Consider the following 22,598-nt stretch of genomic DNA (forward strand, 5'->3'; position numbering starts at 1 on the left):
TTTTTTTTTTTTTTTTTTTTTTTTAGATGGTGGAGCCTTACTCTGTCGCTCAGGCTGGAGTGCAGTGGCGAGATCTCGGCTCAATGCAACATCCGCCTCCCAGGTTCAAATGATTCTCCTGCCTCAGTCTCCGGAGTAGCTGGGATTACAGGTGCCTGCCACCATGCCCCGCTAATTTTTGTATTTTTAGTAGAGACGGGGTTTCACTATGTTGGCCAGGCTGGTCTCGAAATCCTGACCTCAGGTGATCTGCCTGCCTCGGCCTCCCAAAGTGCTGGGATTACAGGCATGAGCCTCCATGCCCGGCCTTGCTTTTTATATTTTTGACAATAACAGAGCCACGGGAAGAAAGGATGTGATTAGGGGAAGAAAAAAGGGGAGAGGTTCATGTTGTCTTTATTTTCATTAATGAATGTCTCAAACATTTTAGGGTATAAATAGCAATCAGTATTTAGGAAAGGAAGCTGGATTCACACTACTTGGAAATCTGGGTCTTTACTCATCCATGGCAATTTTTGGGTATCATGTGCTCTTACAGAATCTCATCTTATGATATAGATTCAGTTTACAGCTATTCTATGATGCTTGAGTATTTCAAATATTAAGTACATTGAGGCTCATGAGAATTGCTAATCTGCCGTGTGAAACTGCAGAGTTGTTTCCCAAGGGTAGAGATGCATTCACATCCACCCACATAGTACAAAGGGGGAAATGATTACGCTGGCCTGGATTTTTTGTAATAGTCCCGTGACATGGCTTCCACATTGCTCTGTGGGCTGTGGTTAAAGAACCTAATCTAGAACAAGACAAGACTTGTAGATTTAAAAAGTCACCTAAGCTGTTTCTTTCCTAGACAAATGGGATTCTAGTTTGGGTTTTATTTTATTTTATTATTTTTTGAGACAGTCTCATTCTGTCATCCAGGCTGGAATGCTGTGGCGCAATCTCGGCTCACTGCAAACTCTGCCCCCTGGGTTCAAGCTATTCTCCTGCCTCAGCCCACCTAGTAGCTGGGATTACAGGTGTGTGCCACCACACTCAGCTAATTTTTTTGTATTTTTAGTAGAGACGAGGTTTCACCATGTTAGCCAGGATGGTTTCAAACTCCTGGCCTCATGTGATTCACCCACCTTGGCCTCTCAAAGTGCTGGGATTATAGGCATAAGCCACAGTGCCCAGCCCTAATTTGAGTTTCAGAGGGCAATTTGTACCGTTTGGAAAAGATGCTGGATCCTTCAATATTACTGCTTTAGAAAGATTTGGAACTCTGACCCATATTTAGTACATGACCTTTCTGGGGCGTGGAAAAATATGCTCTGTCATCTAATGTGATGTCAATTTTCTTTAACCTTCCATGTAAATAGTGCGCATTAAGACATGAGGTCTACTGTTAAATAATTTCTCTTTATAAACATAGTGACAACAAGATTGTACAGTATCAATTAAAAAGACCCAATGTGACCAGGTCCACTGCTTCCTGCATCTTGAAGTAAGACAAGTGTTCAGCTTAGAGATGAGCACCTTTCTTTCCAGAGGGAGAAGACATGATGGGAGAAAAAAATGTTCTCTCTGAGAATTTACCCAGATAAAGAGCTGGGTAGTCGGATCTAAATGGTCCCACAGCAATCCTTTTCTCGGGGGAGGTGCGTAGATCTTTGACAAGTGATGAACGAACTTTGCTTCGTGTGGTTAGGCCTGGGACTGAACTTTGTAACCAGGGATTTGGTGCGCGGGGCTTCACAGGCTGCAGAGAAACATGAAAACATGAGTGCATATGCCAAACGTGTCTCATGTGAGCGGCAGAGCCCAAGTGAAGGCCTCTTTGGCTATAGGGTGTCTCCTTTTTTTTTTTCTTTTTGAGACGGAGTCCCACTCTGTCGCCCAGGCTGGAGTTCAGTGGCGCAATCTCGGCTTACTGCAATCTCCGACTCCCGGGTTCAAGTGATTCTCTTGCCTCAGCCTCTGAAGCAGCTGGGATTACAGGCGCCCGCCACCACGCCCAGCTAATTTTTTTGTTTGTTTGTTTGTTTTTTTTGAGACGGAGTCTCACACTCTCTCCCAGGCTGGAGTGCAGTGGCGCCATCTCGGCTCACTGCCAGCTCCGCCTCCCGGGTTCACGCCATTCTCCTGCCTCAGCCTCCCGAGTAGCTGGGACTACAGGCGCCCACCACCACGCCCAGCTAATTTTTTGTATTTTTAGTAGAGACGAGGTTTCACCGTGTTAGCCAGGAGGGTCTCAATCTCCTGACCTTGTGACCAGCCCGCCTCGGCCTCCCAAAGTGCTGGGATTACGGTGTCAGCCACTGCGCCCGGCGTTTTTTTTTCTTTCTTTCTTTCTTTCTTTTTTTTTTTTTTTTGAGACGGAGTTTCGCTCTTGTTGCCCAGGCTGGGGTGCAATGGTGCGATCTCGGCTCACCGCAACCTCTGCCCCCAGAGTTCAAGGGATTCTCCTGCCTCAGCCTCCCAAGTAGCTGGGATTACAGGCATGCGCCACCACACCCTACTAATTTTGTATTTTTAGTAGAGACAGCGTTTCTCCATGTTGGCCAGGCTGGTCTCGAACTCAGGTGATCCGCCGGCCTCGGCCTCCCAAAGTGCTGGGATTACAGGCATGAGCCTCCGCTCCCGGCCACGCCCAGCTAATTTTTTTGTATTTTTAGTAGAGACAGGGTTTCACCATGTTGGCCAGGCTGGTCTTGAACTCCTGACCTCATGATCTGCCTGCCTCAGCCTCCCAAAGTGCTGAGATTACAGGCGTGAGCCACCATGCCCAGAGATTATTCTTTAATTAATCTCAAAAGCCTAACACCAGGGTAGTCTCTCTCAGCCTACTCTGGCTTGAAAAGCTGCCCATTAAAAAATAAAAATAAAAGCCTAACACCAGAGTTCGATATATGTTCACTCACACATTTGTAGAAGGAACACAATATCTCTTATAATATTCTTTACTTCACTAATAAGTTATAATTTCAGCTATACATTATATGGCGTTATTACTAGTTAAGTAATAAAACCAATGTATTATTTATCTTGTTTTTCATTTCTTAAAAAATGAATAATTGGCTGGGCACGGTGGCTCACACCTGTGATCCCAGCACTTTGGGAGGCCAAGGCAGGCAGCTCACTTGAGGTCGGGAGTTCAAGACCAGCCTGGCCAACATGGTGAAACCCCATCTCTACTAAAAATACAAAAATTAGCCAGGCATGGCGCAGATGCCTGTAATCTCAGCTACTCGGGAGGCTGAGGCAGAAGAATCGCTTGAACCAGGAGGCAGAGGTTGCAGTGAGCCAAGATTGCGCCACTGTACTCTAGCCTGGGCGACAGAGAGAGACTTTGTCTCAAAATAAAAAAAGATTAATCAATTATAATGGACCATATTATTTTAATTTTAATTTTCAAGATTTATTCTTATATTTGTTATATTTATTTTTAATATTTTATTATGTTTTTTGAATATTGTATGTGAAATAAAAAATGAAGTCATGATACAAAGTAAGTCTGACCTGTACATGAATGTTTGTAGAAGCTTTATTATAATCACCCAAAACTAGAAGCAACCAAGATGTCTTTCAAGAAGTGAATGAACAAACTGGTGCACCTACACAATGGAAGAGTATTCAGAGGTAAAAAGAAACGATGCCTGGCGCGGTGGCTCATACTTGTAATCTCAGCACTTTGGGAGGCCAAGGCAGGCGGATCACAAGGTCAGGAGTTCGAGACCAGCCTGACTAACATGGTGAAACCCTGTCTCTTGTAAAAATACAAAAATTACCTGGGCGTGGTGGCATGTGCCTGTATTTCCACTACTTAGGAGGCTGAGGCAGAAGAATCGATTGAACCCGGGGGTCAGAGGTTGCAGTGAGCCGAGAACACACCACTGCACTCCAGCCTGGGCAGCAGAGCAAGACTCCATCTCAAAAAAAAAAGAAAGAAAGAAAGAAAGAAATGAGCTGTGAAGCCAGAAAAAGACATGCATTATTTTAATTATTTTAGTAGAGACAGAACTAGTAGAGTTAATTATTTTAGTAGAGACATGAACCTCTTCAAATGTGTATTGCTGCCAGGAGGTTGGCTGACGCCTGTAATCCCAGCAATTTGGGAGGCCGAGGCAGGCAGATCACTTGAGGTCAGGAGTTTGAGACCAGCTTGGCCAACATGGTGAAACCCCATCTTTACTAAAAATACAAAAATTAGCGGGGGGTGGCGGTGCACGCCTGTAATCCCAGCTACTTGGGAGGCTGAGGCACGAGAATCACTTGAACCCGGGAGTGAGATATTGCAGTGAGGTGAGATGGTGCCACTGCACTTCAACCTGGGCAACAAAGTGAGACTGTGTCTCAAAGAAAAAAAAAGATATGTATTGCTAGGTGAAAGAAGGCAGCCGGAAAAGGCAACATACTGTATAATTCCAATTATATGACATTGTGTAAAAGACAAAGCTATAGAGATAGTAAAAAAAGGCCGGGCATGGTGGCTCATGCCTGTAATCCCAAGCACTTTGGGAGGCCGACGCGGGCGGATCACGAGGTCAGGAGATCGAGACCATCCTGGCTAACAAGGTGAAACCCCGTCTCTACTAAAAATACAAAAAAAAAATTAGCCGGGCATGGTGGCGGGCACCTGTAGTCCCAGCTACTCGGGAGGCTGAGGCAGGAGAATGGCGTGAACCTGGGAGGCGGAGCTTGCAGTGAGCCAAGATCGTGCCACTGCACTCCAGCCTGGGTGACAGAGCGAGACTCCATCTCAAAAAAAAATAAAAAAATAAAAACATCAGTAGTTGTCCAGCTACTCGGGAGGCTGAGGTGGGAGGATCACTTGAGCAGGGGCAGTTGAGGCTGCAGTGAGCCATGATCATACCACTGCAACTCCAGCTTAGGCAACAGGAGGAGACCCTGTCTCAAAATAAAAAACAAAAACAAAACAAAAAAAGGAGAGGAAAAAAGAAAAATCAGTGGTTGACAGGTATTTGTGGGGAGGAAAGGAGGGTTGAATAAGTGAAGCACAGGCCGGGCACACTGGCTCACGCCTGTAATCCCAGCACTTTAGGAGGCCCACGCAGGCAGATGACTTGAGGCCAAGAGTTTGAGACCAGCCTGGCCAACATGGTGAAACCCAGTCTCTACTAAAAATACAAAAATTAGGCCGGGCACAGTGGCTCACACCTGTAACCCCAGCACTTTGGAAGCCTGAGGCGGGCAGATCACCTGAGGTCAGAAGTTCAAGACCAGCCTGGCCAATGTGGTGAAACTCTGTCTCTACTAAAAATTCAAAAATTAACCAGGCATGGTGGCAGGCGATTGTAATCCTAGCTACTCAGGAGGCTGAGGCAGGAGAATTACTTGAACCCAGAAGGCGGAGGCTGCAATGGGCCGAGACTGCGCCACTGCACTCCAGTCTGGGCGACACAGCCAGACTTCGAGACTCCATCTCAAACAAAAAAAGGGAAGCACAGGAGACTTTTTAAGGTGGTGAAACTATTCTGAATATTCTGTATAATATATGATGGTTACATGACATTATTCATTTGTTAAAACCTGTAGAACTTTACAGCAAGAAGAGTGAACCTTATTTTTTGAGACAGAGTTTCACTCTTGTCACCCAGGCTGGAGTGCAATGGTGCAATCTCGGCTCACCATAACCTCCGCCTTCCAAATTCAAGCTTCTTTTAAATGCCTCAGCCACCCAAGTAGCTGAGATTACAGGCACACACCACCATGCCCAGTTAGTTTTTGTATTTTTAGTAGAGATGGGGGTTTCACCATGTTGGCCAGGCTGGTCTGGAACTCCTGGCCCTCAGGTGATCCACCCATCTCAGCCTCCCAAAGTGCTGGGATTGCAGGCATGAGGCACCCCACCCAGCCAGAGTAAACGTTAATGTATGCAAATTAAAACAAAAACATTTAGGAAGTAAGGGGATCTAGGAAGGAATACGGACTGCATGTAGCAAGAGAACCAAATGTATAGAGCAACTTCAGTGAAGGGAGTAGGAAAAACTTCGGAAATGTGTGGAATCTATAAGACTAAATACAACAGGAATTGCACATAGCACTGTACTCTAGTTAATAAAATTGTTTCCCAGGGGAGTGTGGGTTAATATTTCTGATTTATGTATGGAAAATTGGAACATGAAGTATACTAATAATAATTGTAATGATTACCTGAAAGAAATATAGACAGTCTTCTAGTCATGGAGAATAAATTTTAAAACCTTCATTTTTTACATCAGGTGTTTTTTATTTGTTTGTTTGTTTTTTAGAGACCTGGTCTTACTATGTTGCCCCAGCTGCCAGAGTGCAGGAGCTAGTACCTATTCACAGGCACGATCATAGCTCACTATAAACTTGAACTCCTGGGCTCAAGTGATCCTCCTGTCTCTGGCCTCACATGTAGCTAAAACTACGTGTACCATCATGCCCCAACCCTCAATTTAAATACAGATTTTTGTTGCAGATGTGATGATGAAAAATAAATACTTTCAAGCACAATTGTATATTAGGATAAAATTCTGTGTGGAAGTTACTTCATAAAGGAAATGTGAGCGTTTTTTTTTAAGATGTAATTTTAATTTTAAAGAAGAGCTTACATATTTTATTTTTAAAATGGATGATGGTAGTTATCAAACTGTTATGGCATTTAGATTCAAATGGATGCATTTAAATTCAGTTTTGAACTTAAAATATCAATATGTAAAGCTGGAATACTTACATGTTTGAAATTAAACTCTGCTTCTATTTAAAATGAAAACATTTTAGATGTCAATTTTTTTTTTTTGAGACGGAGTCTCATCTCTGTCACCCAGGCTGTAGTACAGTGGCTCAATCTCAGGCTCACTGCAACCTCCGCCTCTCAGGTTCAAGCGATTATCCTGTCTCAGCCTCCCGAGTAGCTGGGATTACAGGCATGCACCACCATACCTGGCTAATTTTTCTTTATTTTCAGTAGAGACGGGGTTTTACCATGTTGGCCAGGCTGGTCTCAAACTCCCGACCTCAGGTGATCCACTTGCCTCTGCCTCCCAAAGTGCTGGGATTGCAGGCGTGAGCCATCATGCCTGGCCTCATTTTAGATGTCAATTTAAGAAGGTAAAGAGGTGACATCATTTTTCAAAATTATTTTATAGGTTATATGAGCAAGCAAAAGAGTTGGAAATTCAACATCCTAGATAGCATCTGTTACGACGTATAGCAAGACTCAGCCAATTTGTTCTGTAAAAGGCCAGATAGTAGATATTTCAGGCTTTTGGGGCCAGATGGCCTATTCAAACTGTGGTTTTTTGTTTGTTTGTTTGTTTGTCATTGAGAGGGAGTCTTGCCCTGTTGCCCAGGCTGGAGTGCAGTGGCGCGATCCTGGCTCACTGCAACCTCTGTCTCCCGCATTCAAGCAATTCTGGTGCCTCAGCCACCTGAGTAGCTGGGATTATAGGCACATGCCACCACACCCGGCTAATTTTTGTATTTTTTAGTAGAGACGGGGTTTCACTATGTTGGCCAGGCTGGTCTCGAACTCCTGGCCCCAAGTGATCCTCCCGCCTCAGCCTCCCAAAGTGCTGGGATTACAGGCATGAGCCACCACACCCAGCCTAAACTTTATATTAACATCCTAAAGTTAAACATGAAAATTCTTCTATAACAAATAATCCCATTGCCCAGAGGGAACTTCTTTCTGTCTTCAGTTTGGTTTATATCTTTCCAGATATTCAACTATGCAGGCAGACACACACACACACACACACAGACACACACACACACACACACACACACACATATATGGTTTTAAATAAATTTTACATAATGTAGGCTCATGCCTGTAATCCCAGCACTTTGGAAGGCTGAGGCAGGTGGATCACCTGAGGTCAGCAGTTTGAGACCAGCTTAGCCAATATGGTGAAACCTTGTCACTACTAAAAATAGAAAAATTGGCTGGGCATGGTGGCAAGCGCCTGTAATCCCAACTACTTGGGAGGCTGAAGCAGGAGAATCGCTTGAACCTGGGAGGTGGAGGATGCAGTGAGCCGAGATTGCACCACTGCACTCCAGCCTGGGTGACAGAGGGAAACTCTGTCTCAAAAAAGAAAAAAGAATAAAGAAAAGAAAAGAAAATTATATATAATGTATATTGGCTGCATTTTTTAAGCAAAAAATGGGACAACATATTGTTCTATAATTTGATTTTTTAACACGTTATAGACATTTCCTTGTCATTCCTTTAAATAACTATTGATTGGTAGATATTTGAGTAATTTCCAGTTTTGAAATTAAAAGCAACAACCATCTATGTGTAAATATCTTTGTACACATGGGTGAATTTTTTTTTTTTTTTTCGAGACAGGGTTTGGCTCTATTGCCCAGGCTGGAGTGCAGTGGCGCCATCTCAGCTCACTGCAACCTCTGCATCCCAGGCTCAAGCCATCCTCCCACCTTAGCCTCCCTAGTAGCTGGGACCACAGGTGTACATCACCATGCCTGGCTAATTTTTGTATTTAAAATTTTTCGGCTTGGCATGGCAGCTCATTCCTGTAATCCCAGCACTTTGGGAGGCCAAGGCAGTTGGATCACTTAGGGCAAGGAGTTCAAGACCAGCCTGGCCAACATGGCAAAACTCCATCTCAACTAAAAATACAAAAATTAGTTGGGCATCGTGGCACATGCCTGTAATCCAAGCTACTCAGGTGAGGCACAAGAATCGCTTGAACCTGGCAGGTGGAGGTTGCAGTGAGCCAAGATCACGCCACTGCATTTCAGGCTAGGTGACAAAGCAAGACTCTGTCTCAAAAAAAAAAAAAATGCTGATTTTTCATAGCAACAGCGTCTCACCATGTTGCTCAGGCTGGTCTGGAACTCTTGAGTTCAAGCAATCCACCTGCCTCAGCCTACCAAAGTGTTGGGATTATCGGTGTTAGCCACTGCACCTGGCCAGTGAATATTTTTTAAGGATAGATTTCTAGATGTAGAATTACTACTGGGTCAAAGATATCAAAATTTTGTATTGATGAATTGTCATCTAAAAGTTTTTACCAGGGTTTCTCAATCCTGGTACTATTGACATTTGGGCCCAGATACTCCTTGGTTATGGGGTTTCATTGTACATTGTAGAATGTTTTACAGCATCCCTCAATGCTAGTAGCACCCCCACTGTTGGACAACCAAAAATATCTCTAGATATTGCTAAATGACCCCTGGGGGTGCAAAATAGCCCCAGGTTCAGAACCACTGCCTCGGACATTTGCTTTCTTTTACTTTCCTTTTATTTCTCTTTCTCACCATCTCCCTTTCAACAACTCATGCTATCCTTCCTTCTTAAAGAAAAGAACTTATGAGGCTGGGTGTGGTGGCTCACGCCCGTAATTCCAGCACTTTGGGAGACTGAGGCAGGTGGCTTGCCTGAGTCCAGGAGTTCAAGACCAGCTTGACCAACATGGCGAAACCCCGTCTCTAGTGAAAATACAAAAATTAGCCGGGTGTGGTGGCCTGCGCCTGTAATCCCAGCTACTTGGGAGGTGGAGACAGGAGAATTGCTTGAACCCAGGAGGCGGAGATTGCAGTGAGCCGAGATCGTGCCATTGCACTCCAGCCTGGGCAACAGAGTGAGACTCTGTCTTGAAAAAAAAAAAGAAAGGAACTTATAATTTAGTATATATCACCCTTCCTTCCCAGTATATTTACACTTTAGATATAGATGAAGTGAAAGTGACAATGACTAATTCAAGAATAACTATCTAATGATGGGATGAATTTTGATGGGAGAGATAATTTGGGGTACTTTCCTGATAGGCTTTAAATCATACTATGTACACTTAAACATCCTGTTGGCTCTATTCATCTTCTTTTCTGTAGAAGTTTCTCTGAATAACAATGATTAGCATCTATATTCAGAATGTCAAGTTCCTGGCCCAGCGCGATGGCTCACGCCTGTAATCCCAGCACTTTGGGAGGCCAAGGCGGGCAGATCATGAGGTCAGGAGATGGAGACCATCCTGGCTAACATGGTGAAACCCCGTCTGTACTAAAAATAATAATAATAATAATTAAAAAAAGAATGTCAATTTCCTTTGATTTTTTTAAAAGGGAATTCTATTGATTCAAAACAAAAAAAAAAAGAAGAGAAAGGTAAGCAATGCTTAAAAATCAAGAAAAATGAGATGAATTAGGGAAAGTAAAGTTTATTGTTTAAAAAATACTATATTTTGGCTGGGCACAGTGGCTCGCGCCTGTAATCCCAGCACTTTGGGAGGCTGAGGCAGGCAGATCACCTGAGGTCAGGAGTTTGAGACCAGCCTGGCCAACATGGGAAACCCCATCTCTACTAAAAATACAAAAATTAGTTGGGCATGGTAGGGGGTGCCTGTAATCCCAGCTACTCGGGAGGCTGAGGCAGGAGAAAATTGCTTGAATCTGGGAGGCAGAGGTTGTAGTGGGCCAAGATAGCACCACTGCACTCCAGCCTGGATGACAGAGCAAGACTCTATCTCAAAACAAACAAACAAACAAAGCCTATATTTTTAGCAGGGCATGGTGGCTCATGCTTGTAATCCCAGGGCAGTGTGCTAAATGCAAGACGGGATAGAAAAAGGCATAAGGAAGTCTTTTCCTTGAATTTTAGGAAGGAATGTGACAAGAACATGAATTACCAGCACAATGTGTTAAATTCATGTGAAAGAGTCAAAATTCTCTTGAGATGAAGGAGATGGTAGCGCCTTTGGAGAGGAGATGGAATGTGAAATGGGCTTTAATTAGGGTTTTGACAAAAGATAATTGGGGGACAATATGCAGAGGAAACAGCCTGAGAAAACATATAAAGGATGATATAGGTAAGCAACAGCAAACAGTCTAGCTTGTAGAAGTAGAGTTTACAGGGGTTGGGGATGATAGGCTGTAACATTATGTGACTCCAGTACCTAGCTGAGGAACTTGGATTTGTCAATGGGGCACCTAGGTAGATTTTGAGTAGGGTGATGACAGGTTTGGGGCCTCAACTTGAGAAAATTCATCTTGTAGCTATCTGTGGTATAAATTGGCATGGGGGCTGATAAGGTTTGGCTCTGTGTCCCCACCCAAATCTCATGTTGAATTGTAATCTCCAATGTTAGATGAGGGACCTGGTGGGAGGTGATTAGATCATGGGGGCAGATTTCCCCCTTGCTGCTCTCATGATGGTGGTTGAGTTCTCACAAGATCTGGTTGCTTTTGTTTGAGACGGAGTCTCGCTGTGTCGCCCAGGCTGGAGTGCAGTAGCGTGATCTTGACTCACTGCGACCTCCACTTCCCGGGTTCATGCAATTCTCCTGCCTCAGCCTCCAGAGTAGCTGGGATGACAGGGGCGTGCCACTATGCCCGGCTAATTTTTTGTATTTTTAGTAGAGATGGGGTTTCACTGTGCTAGCCAGGATGGTCTTGATCTCCTGACCTCATGATCCACCCACCTTGGCCTCCTGAAGTGCTGGGATTACAGGCATGAGCTTGCTTCCCCTTCACCTTCCACCATGATTTTAAGTTTCTTTAGGCCTCCCCAACCATGCTTCCTCTACAGCCTGAGGAACTGTGAGCCAATTAAACCTCTTTTCTTTATAAATTACTCAGTCTCAGGTAGTTCTTTATAGCAATGTGAGAATGGCTAATACAGGAGCAATTAATGGTAAAGAGACAGTCGGGCACCGCGGCTCATGCCTGTAATCCCAGCACTTTGGGAGGCCGAGATAGGTGGATCACCTGAGGTCAGGAATTCGAGACCAGCCTGACCAACATGGTGAAACCCTGTCTCTACTAAAAATACAAAAATTAGCTTCGGTGGTAGCAGGTGCCTGTAATCCCAGCTACCTGGGAGGCTGAGGCAGGAGAATCGCTTGAACCTGGGAGGTGGAGGTTGCAGTGAGCCAAGATTGGGCCATTGCAACACAGAGGTTGGGGTAACACAGCAAGACCCTGTCTCAAAAAAATAAAATAAAAATAAAAAATAAAGGTAAAGAGACTAGTTGGGAGGCTATTTGTAATAAACCAGGATTTGTCTGCCTCAACACTACACTACTGACATTTTGCATCAGACAATTATTTGTTGTGGGAGGGTTGTCCTTAGTATTGTAGAATGTTTAGTAGTGTCTCTAGTGTCTGTTTACTAGATGTTAGACAACCCCTAGCCCCCTATATGACATTGCCAAATGTCCCTATGGAGACAATATCACCCCCAGTTGATAACTGTGTGTGTAACAGACCATGTGAGAAATAAAAAAGGGTGGATGTTAGACATGGGTAAGGACAAAATCTAAAAGCCTTGGCAAGTGTTTGGATAGGCTTGCAACTGAGAAAGAGGGAGTGTTGAAAGCTCAAACAGAGAAAGGTCCTAGAGGCCATGTACTGTAGTCTAATATGCTTATCATTGCTTGAAACATTGTAAACCCTCTTGGAAGGCAGTTTGGTAAAACCTATTAATAATCACAAAAAGTATCTTACTTTTTGACCCAGCACTTTTATTTCTGGGAGTTTATCTTAAATGATTCAAATGAAGACAAGGAATCTTTATGTACAAAGCAATTAGTTGCATGACAGACAGTGACCACGTTCTCAAAAATTACACCCGCATGCCACCACATTGCCTGTTAAATTAGAAGCCGATTTAAGATCCTGAGTTTAAGAGCCAAAGAAGTTGTAGCTAAAGAAACAAAATCCCAGAGGGGCAGGAAGGGCAGATATCAAGAATGCAAGTAGAGAAATTCTTAACTTATTTTTCAGAGAGAGGACAATGAATTTGAGAATTTGTATTGGAGAAAAGAGGGAGAGAAGTTAGGTGGAGGAACTCCTAGATAAGGCTTCAATCAGTGAATTCATCTGCAGAGCAGAAGTTTCTGCGGAACTCAAACTGCCTGGGGGCATTCCTTGAAAAGAAGAATTCTGCACTTTTTGGTGGGAACCTGCCGGTGGAACATCCTGTTTAGAAATGAGGACATCCAAGGAACACTGCAATGTGCAGAGACTAGAAGGAAAAAACAGTCAAGTAGCCATTTCTCCTGGGGAGTCTCTAGTAACTTGATTTTGTGCTTCTTCTTGTTTTTTGAGACAAGAGTCTCACTCTGTCGCCCAGGCTGGAGTGCAATGGTACGATCTCGGCTCACTGCAACCTCCACCTCCCGAGTTCAAGCAATTCTCCTGTCTCAGCCTCCCGAGTAGCTGGGACTACAGGTGCAAGTCACCACACCTGGCTAATTTTTGTAATTTTTAAATTATTATTTATTTTTATTTTTTTGAGGCGGAGTCTCGCTCTGTCGCCCAGGCTGGAGTGCAGTGGCGCCATCTCGGCTCACTGCAAGCTCTGCCTCCCGGGTTCACGCCATCCTCCTGCCTCAGCCTCCCGAGTAGCCGGGACTACAGGCGCCCAGCACCACGTCCGGCTAGTTTTTTGTATTTTTCTTTTTTAGTAGAGACGGGGTTTCACCGTGTTAGCCAGGATGGTCTCGATCTCCTGACCTCGTGATCCGCCCGCCTCGGCCTCCCAAAGTGCTGGGATTACAGGCGGAGCCACCGCGCCCGGCCAATTTTTGTAGTTTTAGTACAGACGGGGTTTCACCATACTGGTCAGGCTGGTCTCGAACTCCTGACCTCAGGTGATCCACACACCTCGGCCTCCGAAAGTGCTAGGATTACAGTCGTGAACCACCGCGCTTGGCCGCAACTTGATTTTTAAATTGCTCTCTGAGTGTAGATTCCTTGTTTGTTTGGCAAGGGTTCTTGCCGCTGCCGCTACAGCTTGAAGCCAAACATTTAATGAAAGAGAGCGGGAGGGGCCGAATAGAAGAATGATGGGCGTGGCCAACCCCGAGGTGGCTGGAGGCCGCGCCCCCTTCCCAGAGTGCACCGCAGCCGCTGCATTCAGGAACCGCTTTAGCTTCGCCCCCGGCCGGCCGGGCGGGGAAGACTGGTGTGGTCTGGCCATGGATGGGCTCCAGGCCAGTGCAGGGCCGTTGAGGCGCGGGCGGCCGAAGCGCCGGCGCAAGCCCCAGCCACACAGCGGGTCGGTCCTGGCCCTGCCCTTGAGGTCCAGGAAGATACGAAAGCAGCTGCGAAGTGTTGTATCCCGCATGGCAGCGCTGAGGACGCAGACGCTGCCTAGCGAGAACTCGGAGGAATCGAGGGTGGAGTCGACGGCCGACGACCTGGGGGACGCGCTACCCGGTGGGGCGGCGGTGGCGGCCGTCCCGGACGCAGCCCGGCGAGAGCCATACGGCCACCTGGGGCCCGCAGAGCTGCTGGAGGCCTCGCCCGCCGCGCGCTCCCTGCAGACCCCGTCGGCGCGCCTGGTGCCCGCTTCCGCGCCGCCCGCGCGCCTGGTGGAGGTGCCCGCCGCGCCGGTCCGGGTGGTGGAGACCTCGGCCCTGCTGTGCACCGCGCAACACTTAGCGGCCGTCCAGTCGTCCGGGGCCCCTGCGACGGCGTCGGGGCCGCAGGTGGATAACACGGGTGGGGAGCCGGCCTGGGACTCCCCGCTGCGGCGCGTCTTGGCCGAGCTGAACCGCATCCCCAGCAGCCGGCGGCGAGCGGCCCGCCTCTTTGAGTGGCTCATCGCGCCCATGCCGCCAGATCACTTTTACCGGCGCCTATGGGAGCGCGAGGCGGTGCTGGTGCGGCGGCAGGACCACACCTACTACCAGGGACTTTTCTCTACCGCTGACCTGGATTCGATGCTGCGCAACGAGGAGGTGCAGTTCGGCCAGCATTTGGACGCCGCTCGCTACATCAACGGACGACGCGAGACCCTGAACCCACCCGGCCGCGCGCTGCCCGCCGCCGCGTGGTCCCTGTACCAGGCCGGCTGCTCCCTGCGTCTCCTCTGTCCGCAGGCTTTCTCTACTACTGTGTGGCAGTTTTTGGCTGTGCTTCAAGAGCAGTTTGGAAGCATGGCAGGCTCCAACGTTTACCTCACGCCCCCTAACTCGCAGGGCTTTGCCCCCCACTACGACGACATCGAGGCCTTCGTGCTGCAGCTGGAAGGTAGGAAACTCTGGCGTGTATACCGACCCCGAGTCCCAACCGAGGAACTGGCTCTGACATCCAGCCCCAACTTCAGTCAGGACGACCTCGGTGAGCCGGTGCTGCAGACCGTGCTGGAACCTGGAGATTTGCTGTATTTTCCTCGGGGCTTCATTCACCAAGCTGAATGCCAGGATGGAGTCCACTCTCTGCACCTCACCTTGTCCACGTACCAGCGCAATACCTGGGGTGACTTCTTAGAGGCCATACTGCCTCTGGCAGTGCAGGCTGCAATGGAAGAAAATGTGGAGTTTCGGAGGGGTCTGCCCCGAGACTTCATGGATTACATGGGGGCCCAGCATTCAGATTCTAAGGATCCGCGAAGAACCGCTTTCATGGAGAAGGTGCGGGTCTTGGTTGCCCGCCTGGGACACTTTGCTCCTGTTGATGCTGTGGCCGACCAGCGAGCCAAAGACTTCATTCACGATTCTCTGCCCCCTGTTTTGACTGATAGGGAGAGGGCACTAAGTGTTTACGGGCTTCCAATTCGCTGGGAGGCTGGAGAACCTGTAAACGTGGGGGCCCAGTTGACAACAGAAACAGAAGTCCATATGCTTCAGGATGGGATAGCTCGGCTGGTGGGTGAGGGGGGCCATTTGTTTCTCTATTACACAGTGGAAAACTCCCGTGTGTATCATCTGGAAGAACCCAAGTGCTTGGAAATATACCCCCAGCAAGCTGATGCCATGGAACTGTTGCTTGGTTCTTATCCAGAGTTTGTGAGAGTGGGGGACCTGCCCTGTGACAGTGTGGAGGACCAGCTGTCCTTGGCAACCACGTTGTATGATAAGGGGCTGCTGCTCACTAAGATGCCTCTAGCCCTAAATTAGTTTCTTGTTGATTGCTGGAAACAAGGCAGTAGTGATTCTCCGCTGCCACTGCTACCTTTTTTTTTTTTTTTTCCTTAAACTCACGTTCTTACCTTGATAAGCATCAGTGTGCTCACATTTACCTTTATCACTGCTTCAGTGTCACAAACCTCGGAAGGTCTTCTAGGAAGAACCATCTCATCTAGGTACAAAAGGAAAAGGAGAAGTTGGAGGTGGAAAAAAAACCCTTGATCCGTGATCATTTCAGAGCACCAACTTCATCACCTTCAGGCTTCAGTGTACTGGGTAACACTGACCATGTCGTTCTGCTTGAGACAGATATTAGATTTTTTTTGGAATTTGGATCTTTCATCTGAGTTCTTTTTCATGGGCGGGTCGGGGTCAGTATCCTGTTTGTTATTGTTAAATTTGTATGAACCTTAGAAAAGTTATTAAAGTGCCAAAGAATGTTTCCCTTTCCTAAGGCTAGATTATTATGTGGGATGGTTCGAAGAAATGCAGGAGCGGGAGGAAGATAGGGAAAATCTATAATGGCTGAAGTGAAAAGCAACCTGGGGTGGTTGTAGCATGTAAAAGGAGCATGTTAATCAACCTCTTAAGGAAGAGACTCTCAGGCTGGGTGCGGTACTCATGCCTGTAATCCTAGCACTTTAGGAGGCCGAGGCGGGTGGATCACCTGAGGTCAGCAGTTTGAGACCAGCCTGGCCAACATGGCAAAACCCCATCTCTAGTGAGAATACAAAAATTAGCCAGGCATAGTGGTGCGTGCCTGTAATCCCAGCTACTAGGGGGGCTGAGGCAGGAGGATCACTTGAACCTGGGAGGTGGAGGTTGCAGTGAGCTGAGATCATGCCACTGCATTCCAGCCTGGGCAACAGAGCGAGACTCCGTCTCAAAAACAAAAACAAAAACAAAAAAGAATCTTATCTGATTGGGACCAGTTCACTAACTTTGGGGATAATTTATGCTATTTAATTATGCAACCCAATTCTAGTAGAAAAATTATTTTCTACCAGCTTGTTCAGTTTTAAGATCATGGTATGTTTTTGCTCACTGTTTGCTTACATCCATGGCTGGCACTGCTGTCATAAGGGCAGCATGTCACCTAGTTGTGCCTTCATAGACCTTAGGCAACCAACTTTTAGCAAGCTGGCCATGAAGGAAGGCTACTGTTCAAGTTACTTTCCACTCTCATTTTTATTCTGGCAGTTCGAAGAAACTTCCCCAAATCTGACAAGTGAATATTCTCATGGTTGGTGGAAAAGTGCCTGATGTACCAGAAAGAGCACTGGACTTGGAACCAGAAGACCTGGGTTTGGGGTGGTAGCTGGTAGGCAGCTGGCTGAGTGACCTGAGGCTGATGCTACGCTCAGGCACACAGATTTTGTAAGTATATTTTGGTACAGTTTGATTTCTGCACCCTCATCATTTAGGTTGCGTCTGGGACTCTTAAGAGTCTGTCACCATAATGGATAGTTTTCTGTTATTTAAGGTTGAGAACTTTACAAATTCTTTTTAAAAAAGTTACAAAAGCATAGACATACACTAAGTAAAAATGATAGTTCTCCCTCCAACCCCACTTTCCAGAGACAAGCACTATTTTTTGTTTGTTTGTTTTTTTGTTTGAGACAGGGTCCCACTTTGTTGCCCAGGCTGGGGTACAGTGGTGAGATATTGGGTTACTGCAGCCTCAACCTCCTGGGCTCAAGCAATCCTCCCATCTCAGCCTCCTTAGTAGATAGGACTACCAGTGTGTGCCACCACACCCAGATAATTTTTATTTATTTATTTTTTTGTAGAGATGGAGGGGTCTTGCTATGTTGCCCAGACTGGTTTTGAACTCCTGGCCTGGGGTGATCCTCCCACCATGGCCTCCCAAAGCACTGAGAGTCCAGGTGTGCGCCACCACGCCCAACCACCAACCACTACCACTATTAAGGTTAAGCTCATAAAGCTTTTTTGAGTGCTTAGTCAAACATACATGGTAGTATTGTTTTATAAAGACTTGTGTTTTTCTGATATGTCCTTTTTTGACCTAACTTTTAAGTCAGTTCAAATAGAGATAACTTTTTTTTAAGGGAGAAAATAAATGAATAAAAACCCGAGAAACAAACAAACAAAAAAAAAACACAAAGACTGAGTGGATGGTAGCCAAGAGGGAAGAGAGTACCCTTTCCTGACTCTTTCATCCTCTAAGGCTTGCTACTAAGTCCCAAAACATCCAGATCCTGGAAGAGGCTTATTAAAGGAATCAAGGCATGGAACTCACCCCTAGGAAACCTACCCTGAAAAGTTTCTTGGAGTAAAGTCTGGAGTGTTAGTGGTCCTTGTTCTCCTTTGGGTTTCAAGTAAACACGTTTTGCTTCCTCCCTCACTTTTCCCATGACCATCTCCAGCTTGAGTATTTTGTGTGTCAGCAAGTCCTTTTGGCTTAGTGTTTTAATCTAAATTAGAACAAATAATGTTTGAAAAACAAAACAAAACACCTGTACTAGGCAGCAAATTATCAAAAAACATTAATAAAGTGATTGTAGGAGGCTGAGGAGGGAGGATCACTTGAGCCCAACAGTTCAAGGCTACAGTGAGCTGTGATCATGCCACTGCACTCCAGCCTGGGCAACAAAGTGAGACCCTGTCTCTAGAAAATAAAGAAGTAACTAATTGCATATGCTTATCAGTAGTAGGTGGTACATAAGTGCCTGAGAACATTGTTCTCTTATGATATTGGTTGGAGATTTTTTATACCTGTTCGTGAAAATTTTACTTCAGCTTTTTGGGCATGATGAACCTGCTAAGAATTGCTTGCTTGATGTGAAGTTGGTTTCTTGAATTACCTTTTTAAAGTCCTTTCCCCTCTATTCCTTCATCTTATCTAACAGCTTTGAAAAATTAGAACAATCCAGGCCAGGCATGATGGCTCATGCCTGTAATCCCAGCACTTTGGGAGGCTGAGGCGGGTGGATCACTTGAGGCCAGGAGTTCAAGACCAGCCTGGCCAACATAGCAAAACCTTGTCTCCACTAAAAATACAAAAAAATTAGTTGGGTGTGGTGGCACATGCCTATAATCCCAGCTATTTTGGTGGCTGAGGCACGAGAATCACTTGAACCCAGGAGGTGGAGGTTGCAGTGAGCCAAGATCACACCACTGCACTCCAGCCTGGGCGACAGAGCGAGACTGTCCCCCCCTCAAAAAAAAAAGCAAAAATTATGTTAATCCTTTCAGCTAGAGATTTTCTTTGGTGAGAAAACCCAGATTAGGAATTCAGAAAAATTAAGAAGAAAATCTAGGGGGCCAGCTCTAGTCCCTTATTCCTTCTCTATGCCTATTTGAAAAAAAGGAAAAATAAACAACTTGGGTTTGGGGTTGATGGGGAGAAAATAGGAAGGGAGGGAAATAGTATTTCTGAAACAATGAGGGTTACTTGATAGGACTAATAGGATTTTTGTTTTGTTTTTGTCTTTACTAGTAGGACCTTGTAACCCAATCTTGCACAGATGCTTTGCATCTTCAAATGATGTGGCATCTGTGTCTGGGGTTTTAGAAAGTACTTCTATGGTGGGAAAAAGGGTATGTACATGTTTGAGGAGGACAGGGTCTGAGGAACTCTTGAGAGTCCTGAATTTTCTCTTGAGAACAGAGCTTGCACTTATTTACCCTGTTCTTGATCTCCTGAAGCATTTCTTGGTTTCCTTCATTTCCTAAGTTGAGTATCTTCATTGTCTGGTACATTTCTCTGAAAGATAAGAAGGGCTTCTTAGATTATTCTACCCTGCCCTTTAAAAAAGTATGGGGGTAGAAAATATAGGACTTGGAATCAGGTAAGAATCCCAAGTTCCAATCCTAACTGTGCAGTTTTGCTGAGCCTTATATGCAAAAATGGTATAATGCTTAGCTTACAGGAATAATGTGCAGTTTTTGAGACAATATATTTGTGGGTTTTTTGTTTACTTTTTGTTTTTGCGAGATGGAGTCTTGCTCTGTTTCCCAGAGCTGGAGTGCAATGGCACGATCTCGTCTCGGCTCACTGCAACCTCCACCTCCCAGGTTCAAGCGATTCTCCTGCCTCAGCCTCCTGAGTTGCTGGGACTACAGGCGCGTGCCATCATGCCCAGCTAGTTTTTGTATTTTTAGTAGAGATGGGGTTTCACCATGTTGGCCAGGCTGGTCTAGAACTCCTGACCTCAGGTGATCCACCCGCCTTGGCCTCCCAAAGTGTTGGGGCTACAGGTGTGAGCCACTGCACCCGGCCATGCCCGTCTAATTTTTGTATTTTTAGTAGAGACAGGTTTCACCATGTTGGCCAGGCTGGTCTAGAACTCCTGACCTCAGGTGATCCATCTGCCTCAGCCTCCCAAAGTGTTGGGATTACAGATGTGAGCCACCTCATCTGGCCAAGACAATATATTTGAAGGTGCCAATAGGTACCATTTACTGAACACCTTTATGACAGGCGCTAAACATGTCATCTCATTAATTATCACCACAACCCTATAATGTAGACTATCACCTGCATTTGATACATGAAAAAAATGGGCTCACAGAGTTTAAATACCTTACACGGGCTCACATAGCTATTGCATGCCAGAGCTGGAATTCAAACCCTGGTCTTTTTGACTCTAAAACTTGTTGTCCCAATAGGCATTTGATAAATGTTAGTTGAATATATGAATAACTTAAAACCCATCCTTTTTTTTTTTGAGACGGAGTTTTGCTCTTGTTGCCCAGGCTGGAGTGCAATGGCACCATCTCGGCTCACCGCAACCTCCACTTCCCAGGTTCAAGTGATTCTCCTGCCTCAGCCTCCCTAGTAGCTGGGATTACAGGCATGTGCCACCATGCCTGGCTAATTTTGTATTTTTAGTAGAGACAGGGTTTCTCCATTTTGGTCAGGCTGGTCTCAAACTCCCGACCTCAGGTGATCCTCCTGCCTCAGCCTCCCAAAGTGCTGGGATTACAGGCGTGAGTCATCACACCCGGCCAAAACCCATCCTGGTGGGGAGAAAAGATGCATGAACTACATAAGCTTGACTTTCAATCTAATTTAGGCCAGTTTTTCAGTTACCTACTTGGGTGAGTGGTGAATGTGCAGGTGAACCAGTGCTTTTACTGCCATTAGGTAGCCTGGAAAGGCAGGGACATATTCAATGAGCAAAGATGTGAGAGTTGGCAGTATAAGGTCATGGTGGGAGCCAGAGGTTTAGTGCTTACTTTAGAACAGCATCGTGGTTCTCCAGGAGCAGCACGTCTAGGAAGGTGTCCCTGACCCGGTCCCCTTGAAGTTTCAGGGCTAGGATGCTACGGCAAGCTTCCAGCCGTACACCTGGTGACTCTTCATAGTGGATAGCCCAGAGCAGAAGATCCGTCAGCTCGGGACTTACTTGCCCAATCTGTCCCAAAGCTGCAGAGATTAGAGGGCAGCATGTCACTGAAGACTGAGCTTACTATATTCTAGCATCCAGAAATAAATTGAGTTTTGCAAACAATACCTTCCCTTTTGGATGGTAATCACCATTAGAATTTTAGGGATAGGTCAGAATGGGACATTACCTCCAAAGGATTCCTAGAAGAGGGATGTTCCATCCCATCCTTGCCTGTTAGGATATTTGCCTATTTTGGGATGAAATATAGAACAAATAACATGGAAGACCTGCCTAGTCCCAGCAGGGTGATGGGGAAAGGAGGCACAATTATTTATCTATGTCAAAAAGAGAAGCAATGCCAAAGATTCTAAAAAGAAACTAGGCAGATTAAGGGGCAGGGTTTTAGGTCTGTAGCAGTCTTGAAACTGATCTGACTTTTGCAGAGCGTAATAGTTGAGATCTCCAAGGAAAGCAAGATGCATCCAGCACTGGATACCTACTTGGAACTTATCCTTAATTCTGTTGGCAGGGACTGTCTTGTCAGCCCTTTCTTTAACTTAAGTTTGACATATACCTAGACTCAGGATCTTTCACTAAAAATTGAAGAAAATTATCTTTCTCTTTTCAGACAAGGAACTTCTGAAAAGCTAAGATCATTACCTCTCCTGCACTTCACCCCATTAGAGAGTTTCAGGGGATCATTTCTACTTGCATAGGCAAAGGTATTTAAGGTTGAAGAGTTTGGGGCACTACTTCTATAATACCTCGAATGGCAAAGGCCTTGATTTTCCAGTAAGGATCTCTCTGCATCAGGTTCAGGAGGCATTCAAGCACCTGGGATGGAAAAGGCAGTGTTGAGTGGGGAGGACCAGAGCAAGAATGAACCAGAAACAGCTGGGTGCGGTGGTGCACCCCTGTAATCCCAGCATTTTGGGATGCCAAGGTGGGCGGATCACTTGACATCAGGAGTTTGAGACCAGCCTGGCCAACATGGTGAAACCCTGTCTCTACTAAAAATACAAAAATTAGCCGGGCATGGTGTCACACGCCTGTAATCCCAGCTACTCGGAGGCTGAGGTAGGAGAATTGCTTGGACCTGGGAGGCGGAGGTTGTAGTGAGCTGAGATCGTGCCACTGTACTCCAGCCTGGGTGACAGAGCGAGTCTCCATCTCAAAAAAGCAAAAAAACAAAACAAAGCAAAAGAATGAATCAGAAACAGGGAAACCACTTATCTCTAAAAGGAGCTATAATTGAAAAATGACCTATCAATTCTGGTGACAAATGAGCTGGAGCCTAAAGTACCAACCTATATGCATAGTGAGTACATTAGCTGAATTATCTGCTATTGATTTTCTCAGTCTACAGATCTGGGGCCATATGGCTTCTCTT

At 45.9% G+C, this 22,598-nt stretch overlaps 3 protein-coding genes across 8 annotated transcripts in view, besides 4 other annotated features; 2 read left to right on the top strand and 1 right to left on the bottom strand.

Moving 5' to 3' along the window:
* Positions 1-1,385: 1,385 nt before the first annotated feature.
* The window catches only part of HEATR4 (HEAT repeat containing 4), a 155,331-nt gene continuing 134,118 nt past the window's right edge, over positions 1,386-22,598 (bottom strand). For 4 of the 6 annotated variants that reach the window (XM_047431370.1, NM_203309.2, NM_001220484.1 and 1 more), the window contains 6 exons: positions 21,973-22,042; positions 21,057-21,246; positions 19,503-19,581; positions 18,130-18,289; positions 15,968-16,026; positions 1,386-1,744 (listed from right to left, as the gene is read on the bottom strand). In XM_047431370.1, the coding sequence (XP_047287326.1) occupies positions 1,508-1,744; positions 15,968-16,026; positions 18,130-18,289; positions 19,503-19,581; positions 21,057-21,246; positions 21,973-22,042 (795 nt within the window). In that variant the 3' untranslated portion in view covers positions 1,386-1,507. Of the gene's footprint in view, positions 1,745-15,967; positions 16,027-18,129; positions 18,290-19,502; positions 19,582-21,056; positions 21,247-21,941; positions 22,043-22,598 lie in introns of those variants that run through there. The other 2 variants (XR_002957552.2, XM_024449582.2) reach the window with 2 other exon arrangements.
* Positions 12,915-13,820: an enhancer, noted in NCBI's record as "H3K27ac-H3K4me1 hESC enhancer chr14:73956718-73957623 (GRCh37/hg19 assembly coordinates)". NCBI's record gives its function as "activates a minimal SCP1, AML or CMV promoter by ChIP-STARR-seq in primed H9 embryonic stem cells {active_cell/tissue: H9 hESC(primed)}" and the evidence as "EXISTENCE:reporter gene assay evidence [ECO:0000049][PMID:30033119]".
* Positions 13,502-13,611: an enhancer, noted in NCBI's record as "active region_8700". NCBI's record gives its function as "activates an Ori minimal core promoter by ATAC-STARR-seq in GM12878 lymphoblastoid cells {active_cell/tissue: GM12878}" and the evidence as "EXISTENCE:reporter gene assay evidence [ECO:0000049][PMID:35858748]".
* On the top strand, positions 13,835-16,296 carry RIOX1 (ribosomal oxygenase 1). Its single transcript, NM_024644.5, has one exon. It carries the CDS (start codon positions 13,920-13,922, stop codon positions 15,843-15,845), a length of 1,926 nt encoding a protein of 641 aa, NP_078920.2. The 5' UTR covers positions 13,835-13,919; the 3' UTR covers positions 15,846-16,296.
* The window catches only part of ACOT1 (acyl-CoA thioesterase 1), a 52,864-nt gene continuing 44,100 nt past the window's right edge, over positions 13,835-22,598 (top strand). Inside the window, exons 1-2 of the mRNA XM_017021590.2 lie at positions 13,835-16,225; positions 17,055-17,231. Of these exons, the coding sequence (XP_016877079.1) occupies positions 17,206-17,231 (26 nt within the window). The 5' untranslated portion in view covers positions 13,835-16,225; positions 17,055-17,205. The remainder of the gene's footprint in view (positions 16,226-17,054; positions 17,232-22,598) is intronic.
* Positions 14,162-14,451: a silencer, noted in NCBI's record as "silent region_5911". NCBI's record gives its function as "represses an Ori minimal core promoter by ATAC-STARR-seq in GM12878 lymphoblastoid cells {active_cell/tissue: GM12878}" and the evidence as "EXISTENCE:reporter gene assay evidence [ECO:0000049][PMID:35858748]".
* Positions 14,800-15,300: an enhancer, noted in NCBI's record as "H3K4me1 hESC enhancer chr14:73958602-73959102 (GRCh37/hg19 assembly coordinates)". NCBI's record gives its function as "activates a minimal SCP1, AML or CMV promoter by ChIP-STARR-seq in naive H9 embryonic stem cells {active_cell/tissue: H9 hESC(naive)}" and the evidence as "EXISTENCE:reporter gene assay evidence [ECO:0000049][PMID:30033119]".

The sequence above is a fragment of the Homo sapiens genome, chromosome 14, assembly GCF_000001405.40.
Source record: "Homo sapiens chromosome 14, GRCh38.p14 Primary Assembly".
Lineage (NCBI taxonomy): Eukaryota > Metazoa > Chordata > Mammalia > Primates > Hominidae > Homo > Homo sapiens.